A 10,075-nucleotide genomic window follows, 5' to 3' on the forward strand; every position below is an offset into this window, starting at 1 on the left:
CCCAGCGCCTTGCCTTTGCCTTGTCCCACACCACAGAGAGCAGTATCATGGGAAAATGCACTAACCTAAAAGAAAGCAAAGGAAGGCAAGAGGAAGGGAAAAAAATTAAAGGCTTGAGGCAGTTTCGGTGGTACTTAGTGGTGAAAATTACTTTGGCAAATAATAGAACCCACGGCTGGTAATTACTGCTAACAAGCTTCCCCCAGCCCAAATGTGACACTTGGGCTGATGTGAGAAAAGCTGATATAGGCCAAGCTTATTAAGCTTGAATGAAAGGAACCCTTTCCCCTATGAAAATACAGCAACTTAGGGGCTTGCAAATCTTGTAATCTAGTGTTACCAATTATTCAGTAAAACAGAAAAATGGTGCTGCAATATTTAAAATCCTTCTTGGATTTAATTCAGGCTGGTGCCCTAATCCCAAGCAATTGTAATCATGAACATCCTTGGTTTCCTAAACATGTACTCTTGGTTCCAAACAAAATATTTTGGGTACTTAACCTACTTCATGCCAAGGACCACTGGGGAAACCTTTCATACTTGATGCCCAGCAGATAACTTGGCAAAACATTTTTCTCTAGAAGATTTTTAAAACTGTAAACAAATACACATAGTTTGAAAGAAGGCAATAGACTCTTGTGCAAAGTATGTCCCCAGAACACTTCCATGACTTATTCATGATATTAATTTCAAATTAAATTTGGTGTGGTTTGACATAGTAATGTTAACCTCTTCATCAACTTTAAAATTGCTGTAATTACCATGGGAAAGTAATCACATAAAATTATAGCATCTATTAACTATCATATTAATAAAATACTGTGCTTTATTTGAGAGTAAACTCGTGTTTCCTGAGTAAAAAATAATTAGGAAAATTAAAGAAGTGTCAGTAATGTATTTTATATGTTACTATATTTACTGCATAAAAGAAAAGATTTTATTCTTCCCTATACAGGACACAGGCATTTATTAAAAGATGAGTATTACTTGTGTGCAGCAATACTTACATGAAAGATAAATGCTTAATTCAGCATTTTGAATTGAATTCCATCAGTATCATCTGGCATATCCATAGTATTGTAAACATTAATATTTTCACAGTTTTTCAATATTAATTGACTCTATGATATAAATGACACTTCTGTTATCTAGCAAACCACTGAAATTTTAAGTTCATTTAAGTCAGTGAAACAAAATAATGTGCCGCTATGAACCTAAATGGGTATAATTGTGACTTGACTTTAAACTTTTCAAAGTAGCTTTAATTTCTTAATACCTCCTTAGTTCATTGTTTGAATGTACTATTTGAATATTTCCAATAATTTGTTTTTCTCCAGCCTAATTACCCTGGGCATGTGGCAAGTATGAGATGTTGTACAATTTTATTATTTTAAGACTTCATATAGACACTGAATGTATATTTTTATGAATTTTTTTTCAAAAAACTTAAAACACATGTTGAACAATATAATAAAGCCAAGGAGTTACACATTTGTCTAATTATTCATTTTGAAAAATATGTGTTTAGTTCTAGAACTCTGTGGTGTTTCATGGTTATGAGGCCTGGAAATCTTACAATGCTCTTCATGCAGCAAAATATTGTTTGTTCATATTGGAAGGATTAGTGCCTCGTGTCACAGTTGACCCATTCACTTGGCACTCAGGAAAGTCAAAATAAAGTTAAAACTTTATATTAAACCAAGAGAGTACATTTAAAATTTTCCTTAGAATCTAAAATTTTGTGCTTTAAAATGATAATATTAACTGAAGACAATTTAAAAGAACTTTACAACATATTTTATAACTAAATCTATGCTGTGCTTATATTCAATTAATTCCCATGGAGAATGATCTATTTTTCTATTCCTACACTGTTGCAAAATCTTAAAGACTCCTTTTTTTTTTTTTTTAAATTAAGATGCTGGCTAAGCTACAACTGTTTTTACAAAATTTATTTTTAAATATCTGCATTTGGCTTATCTCCATCATGATAGTAGGTAAATTTAATCAAATAATTCCTTTATTTCCTAAACATAATAAACACATGATAAACTACTACTTGAAAAATTATTACCCCCTGACCTCAAGCAAAACCCAACATGAGTTTAAAATCTTTCCAAGAAAAATAGAATTGTTCACAAAAAAGCTATTTATAATCAGCGAATAAAATTTGGCAAAAGTTTGTTAATCTGTTTTAGAAATGTTCAATTCAATTTTCAAACTTTATAAAATGATGAAGATAATTTTATAATATGCTGTAGTAAGGAAATGCTCTCTTCTTTCTGATCCCATAATCAGGGAAAAGAAAACCACCAATGGGAACAGTAAAGAAGCTAAATAAATGAGTACAGAATACAACCATTCTTCAGCTGTTTTCTTTAAGCAATGTAATTTTTTTTTCAGATAGAAGGTTGTGTGTGTGCGTGTGTATGTGTGTGTGCACATGATTGTGTGTTTTATTACATTATCTTCACTTTGGAACAAAATATTTACACTTAAAATAAAAATTACTTAGACTTTTTGGTGAGAATGAATGCTATAATTAATTCATATAATTGCTATCCTAATGTGAACCACAGAATGTATTGATTCTGTAATAAGAGTAAGTATATGTTTTCAGTGATTCTTTTTGGGAAAACAAAAATAAATGTAAATGAAAGGAAAGAGAAAAACAAGGGAAGGAGAAGAGAAGTCAGAAGCTTAGAGGACATGAAAGAAGCAGGCAGCGAGATGGGGCAAGAGAGACAGATGTGGCTAAGGGGGTGGTAGGGGAAGGGAGATGACAGAAATATAGGGAAGATAGAGAAAAGAAACTTGTGCTTCACCAGTATGAGCATTTTAATTCATGACACTGTCATAAGTCTATATTCACTAGTATACTTTCTTAAAATCCTGTTTTGCCAGCGGTTCTATTTCTGTTTTATTGAGGCATAATTGACAAATAAAAATTGTGTATATTTTAGGTGTACAATGTGATGTTCTGGCATACATCAACATTGAGAAATGATTACCACAATCAATCTAATTAACATATCCATCACCTCACATAGTTACCTATTACTTTGTGTATGTGGTGAGAACATTAATCCATCTCAGACTTTTTCTAAAATCTGTTTAAAGCTATTTTGTCTCATCACAAGGACAATCCGTAGTTAAAAATAGACTTTATGGGAAAATAATTATTAATAATGTATTAATGTTAATACATTTCTTTGGAGAAAAAAATACAAACTTGATGGACTGTGAAGAGTTTAAAAAAACATGCAAACAAATTGGTTGGCTCATCATATTCTCTAAGCCATCTATTATTATTTTAAGTATATAACAGAGAAAATTAAGGGAAGCACCAGTTTATGAAAGAGAATGTGGTAATTGATATCAAATACTTTGTTCTGCAAAAGTATGTGCTCAAGATTATATCTATACTGTATATAAAATTTTGTACATACAGTTTGAAGCTGAGAAATGATCACCAGATGAGACCAGTCACTGAAAGTGGGAGTGTGTTGAGACCTTCATTCATTGTGATGCTCCAATGAAATTCTTAATTGCTTAATTCTGTACACTGTGTTACTACTTTGTCCAGTTTTGAAAGCGATGCTCCCTTTCATTTTCCCTTTCTCTGTCTACTATCAGATATTAATCCCTGTAGCTACTCTTTCTTGTATGTCTTCATGTTGTATACACTACTTTAGTTGCATTTTATTACCTTTGGTCTGACAACTGCTGCAGCCTCTGACTCTCCTTTCCCTTCTTCCACTTTTCAACTTTCCATTCCACTCTGTATAGATTTATCACATGAAGTATCCTGACATTCAAATCCAATCATGTCATATTCATACTCAAAAACTTTCCAAACTCCCTATTGCGTTCTGAAAAGACAATTCACTTGTTTTCACTCCTTGAACAATTATTCAAAACAAGTATTGAAAGCTTTCCGAAATCTAAACTAAATTTCTTTTCCAAACTTATTCTCACTCTATTCTTCTACACATAGCATCCTTAGAAGTCTGCTCTTCCATGTTTATGTCAGTACCATGAATATGTTCCAGATCTGATTATTTTGTTCTTCTTGAAGTTTCCACTTCTTCTCTGCATCACTACCTATCAATGTTCAAATGTGACTTCTATTATGACATCTTCTTGGATCTCACTGGAAAGCAGTACCTCTGAAACTTCATTGCCCCTTACATTAACAAGCCTGTACTTTATTGTAATACTTGTATGTTTAAGTTCTGTTTTTAATCCTTAAAAGTATGTAACAACTTCTCTTCCCACACATACCATTCATTAACATTGAATGAACTTAGTATACAGAAATAGACGGATAATAGGTATTTTAAATTAATAAGAACAATAACAAAAGAGATATTCATAATGTCAAAAGAGTTAGATTATCAAGATTATTTTTCCTTTTTTTAAAAAAAGCTAAATATAGTTGTGCCTTGAGTGACAAAAATTAATAGTAAATCTTTACATATACTGGTCATTTTTAACTATGGATACAATTTATCACATTGAGGGATTTATTTCCAGGTTAATATTATAAAAATCAAGAAATGGAAACTATTCATCAATTTTAATTATGTCTGCACTAGCAATAAAATGCAGATAAAGATTGTACTATAAGATAGCATTTAAGATATGCCTTTAAAAATGAGTTTTCTTTTTTTCATAAAAATACTACTATTTGATAGATCATAGGGTATGATATTTCTTACAATAATATATGAGATCAACATAATATATAATGAAATTTATAAAATCTAAAATTTATAACATTATAGGAAGTAGCAAGCTATGATTTATATTCACATCAAATGTTTTATAGAAAAAGTACTGTAGACATCTCGGAATAGAAAGATTTTTTTAAGTGAAACTTTTATATAATTATTGATTTCTTATTATTCAATTCTACTGAAAGGCTGCCATTTTTCAGTTCCTTTATTCAGAATGTATCATATGAATAAAGATCCTCGAAATTCTCATAACGGTGATATTTTAAAATGGCTTTTAATAATCTTTTGTGCATTGATTATGTAACTGTTGATATATTTAGAATGAGGCTGTAGGATTTTTTTAAAACTCTTTTTCTTCTTTCCCAAATTCAGAGAAGAGTGATCTTTTAAATATCTCTTATTGTTTTTGTTATGTTTTACAAACTGGAATATATATTAAATTTCCCTTAATATAACTATAAAGATAGTAAATGTACTTTACAGCAGCTGAGTATCTTGTTTTAAAGATACAAATGAGGTCTAAAGAATGGAGTGTCAGTTTTGTCAGTTCGGTTATTTTACTTTTTTCTTTTAAATAATTTCTAATGAATATAACACAAATTTTATAGATAATCTCAAAACTTGGTACCATCTATGTTTACAAGAATGGTATATTTCTTATGTATTTTGTAGTGTTTTGTGTACTGTACACAATGACTAAAATAAAAATAGTACAATGGATTATATAGTTCCTCCTATTCTTTGAAATTTTAGAGTATATTACTGGTGTCAGTTTACCATTATCTTAGAGAAAAATGGATAAAACCTTACAGTATGACTCAATTTTTCTATCTATATATACAGCATCAGCAAGTACAGGGGGAGTCACTAATAATAGGATATTTTAAATCATTTTGAGACTTTTGAATATTATTAGAAATGCAAACTAACAGACTTACAGCTTGTTTAGCTTCAATACCTGAGTTATCTTTTGTTTCTACCAATTTCTATATCATGATGTAAAAATATTTCATTATCAAGTTATGTGATTCTATATAAAGCTAACTTGATTTTTAATAGGCCTTCACACATTATGAAAGAGTCCACTAATTTTCCTTATTTAACAGTTTGCTATAAAAATGTAAGGGAAAAACACAAAATAACTGCTCATTTCATTTTAACATTTTTACATGAAAATTATAATACCACTTAAAAATCCTTAGGATGTTTAACTTTCTAAAATTAGTCTCAGATTTCTGAGAGCTCTGAAAAATAAGACAATTTATTGCTTATATTTAAAATAGCATAGCATGGTGATCAAATGTACTTTAGTGAGAATTTGAAGGCTGACTATGGAGTAATGCCCTGTGGCCCAATTAACATTTTAAGTCCCACCTACTGGGTCTGTCTCCTCTGTTCCCACATAACAACAAAAATTGTGCATTTAGTTTTTGTTGTATCAAAGAACAAAGACAAAATACATTTCTGAACTTGAATTTTCAGATCATAATAGCATCTTGTCTCCTTGGTGTTTCTTTCATTTTACCAACTGGGTGACTTGTTGAAGGGAATAAAGAGAGAAGGCTTCATAGAGGGGAGGCCACCGATATCATTGGCAAGAGAAGCGCACGACAAATGAGATATTGTACAGGCAAACACAAAATGAGCTTTCACGCAGGGTTCTGTCAGTGTCATTCAGCTTTGCCTGAATGGATAACCCTCTCATGATTTATCTTCCATTCATCAAGTCAATGCCTGGTATCTTTTCAGTTGTGATGGATAAGACCTTACTAAATTGACTACTGCCTGCTGAGCATTGTGGAGCCTGAGAACTGAACAGGAAGGGGGATCCAACCATATTTCATTCATATAGTAAGTCAGCCATGCTCAGTAGATCTAAGGACTGAGAATTATAAAGAACCTTGTTTCAACTGGCTCAAGGGTCTAGACCAGAGAGTGGTCAAGGATCTATCCAGTTTCCTGATTTTGAAAGTGAAGAAGGAATAGAGGTTGTTAGGGGTTGCCATTATAGGCCATCTGGAACACTGAAAATGAGTTTACTAGAAAGAAAATACTATTCCTTCAGGTCTTATTCCAGATGACAGGTATTTAGCCAAATCTTTTCAAATATCACACTTATTTTATCATAAAAAGAACCATATCAGGTATCCATTATTGCCTATAAATAACAGAAAGAGGCTAAACGTTGTTAAGCCCTATTACAGCAGTAAGCTTATTTTCCTCTTTTAGTTAGCTTTTAGAAGACTATCAAGTTCAGTAAATGTCTGTGGATAGATGGAGGGATGGACATAGAAAGAGATGGAGGGAGAGAGGAAGAAAGGAAAGAAATGGAAGGAAGAAAAGAAATCGGAAGAAAAGAAATCGAAATTCCAATATTGGACTTAAGATTTAAAGTGTGAGTATACATTTCTAAGTACTGTATATTTTTTCCACTTTAATAAAAATCAACGCTAAAATTTTCTGAAGTACTTTTTCAAATGTGAAAAGGGTAAGTACAGTGTATCTACTTAAAACTCTTTCACAAATATCACATCCTTTCAGCCCCTAGAAAATTTTTTTCTGATTTCTCCTCATATTTAAAGGCATAGATCAATTATTTAATTCCAAAAGTATGAATTTGTAATAGAGTGTTTATATAAATGCTATATTCGTTGAATAATTTTCTTCAGACACAGTTTCTCTATTAGAGTTTTGAACTTCAGATATTCTTTAAAAATATATTAAATGTCCATTTTCCATAAAGTCATGACAATAAAATGCCAGTGTACATTCTTAAAATCACTGTCTCGTATAAACACATTCAAACATGTGGATATCAAAAATGAGGAATGCCTGCATGAAATAGGGACTATTATAGCCATATATTACCAAAAGCAAAGAAAAACATTAGCAAACACAAATACACAAAACACATAACATGAAAAACAGAACATCATATATATTAATGCTGTGGAAATTGATTAAATATATTACTTATTTGTACATTCACAAAGAATTACTTGAAAAGTTAAGTTCCAAGGGAAAAAATATTTTCACTTTTTATATTTTTGTGTCTGCTTTTAAAATTTAATTAACAGATTACTAAAGATATTACATCAATACCATATGGAAAAAGATACTAGAAGATCATTAATTCTTATGAAACATGTTATCAAGAGTTATTCATAGGTGAAATGGATTCATTTAAACACACGCAACATAGGAATAAAATATGTTTCTCTTTTATATTTCCAACAAGGAGAAATATTGAAACCTGATTACAAATTGATATACCTTTTGTTTGAAGAGTTAGCTAAGTTTCTAAGCACAACGCATTGGCATGTCTAAGCCTTTGTATTTTACATGGACCTGGGAGTTGGGCCCAGGTGGTCAGGAAGAACATACCCTATGTTGTCATGACAAATATTATGTGAAAGAAAACACTAGCGACAAAAAGAGATAGTGGGAAATGAAGTTAAAGTAAGTGATAGACTTGTAGTTTATTTTTAGATTTTTAAGCTAAGCTGTCTCCTACTTACATTTGTTTTGAGTTTTCACTTTTTGTTTACCAAATAGAATGTACTTTCTGTAGCAAGCAAATTAAGCAAAAATATCCCCCTCTGACATCTTAAAGCATAGAGAATATTCCAAAAAAATAGGTCGAATGTATAAGGAATGTCTACAGACAAAAGCTTGTGCGTGCACACACACACACACACACACACACACACACTCACACAAATAATGCCAAGGTAAATTAAACTGACTGATCTCCACAACCTCCTTTTCTAGGGTTTAGTGTAAAACTTATTTAAGAGCCAATAACGCTGTTGATTTTTATAAATTTCTTTGATTCTTTCCTTCTGACTTGGCCTGTAATTATTTTTCTATCTTAATCAGTTTCCCTAAAGAATGTGTTATGGATTGTATAAAGACATGAACTACAGCCAGTTTCAAGTTATTTGTGTAAATAGTAAAAAATTGACTAGGAGGACTTTAATAGCATAGTGTAAAATAATGTTTTGGAATTGTCTTAGTGTATGAATTGTGCCTCTTCTCTCTGTTCTGTTATTAAAGGAGATAGTCAACAATGAGCCAGTTTGATTTTGTTAAATTGGCATTATAAGGTATTTTTGTTATGATGGTATTTTTTACTGCCAACCTTAATTCGTGTAGAGAAAAGAATTAGTGGTCCATGTTATTTTTGCTCCCTTAAGAGAATAAAACTGCTAACAGCTCATGTTACCCGCCACATACCCCAAAGCTCACAAATTAGTTTTATTCAACAAATATTTATTGAGTGCTTTCTATGTGCCAGATGTTGTTCTGGGAAATCGGGATACCTCACTGAACAGTACACAGATAGCCCTGATATCCAGGAGCTTATATTTTGGGGGTAGAAAGGAGCACAAATTGCAATTTTATGGAAATCACTATTAATATCAACCAAGATTTGGAAAGGCAGGCTACTTCAATATGTTTTGATCATTTATCGATGTGTCTGCTGTTTAACAAATCCTCAGGGCTTTCTATTTTTTTTACACAAAATAATTTTGGGGAGCATTGACACAAATAATCAGAGCATCCAAATTTATAATGATTAAGGTTATCAAGTAAATAAAAACGACACTGGGTATACTTAGAACAAGATCTAGTTTTTAGCCTCAATCTGTGTCATCTTTCTGAGCTTCATATAGTCATGCATCTTTCTTAAACTGCATTGAAAAAGTACATGGTGATTAGGACCATCTGCCCTGACTACTAGGAAGTGTTATTAGCATCATATGACAGAATGTCTAAGGCAGTACTTACAATGGATGAAGAACGAGGCAACTTACCAAGCATCTTAAGACAATGCCTGCATTCAGTGGGCACTCTCCATATATCTTTGGATGAATGAATAAACGAGGGAAGAAAAACAAATTTTCAGCACTATTTGTACCATTCCTGGCTGACCTGCCTGTTGAATGTCTGGTCTTTCAGTCCAAGCTTAGTTTTAAAAGTAAAAATGTCAATTCCTCACTCCAGGACTGCACAGAATACATTTTTTACACATTCTAGATTCACCTGAGTGTTTTTGGTGGATGTGTCTTGTTGAAATAAACAAACAAAAATCCTGTGTGCATTAATAATGATTAACATATTGGTTATTAAATTATGATAATCAGCGTGCTCTTTGAGTACTGTTAGTTCTTCAAAGAGGCTTAGCTTATATATTTCAGAGTTAGCATAAGTATCCTGCCATATGATATACTTAGAATAAATGAGGACTTAGCAGCTGCTGAAGAATTAAGATGTAACAAAATCTCCATAAGGCTTAATACAAATTTTATTTTTCTTCAAATATTGTGGTTTTA

The sequence above is a fragment of the Homo sapiens genome, chromosome 3 (genome assembly GCF_000001405.40).
Source record: "Homo sapiens chromosome 3, GRCh38.p14 Primary Assembly".
NCBI lineage: Eukaryota > Metazoa > Chordata > Mammalia > Primates > Hominidae > Homo > Homo sapiens.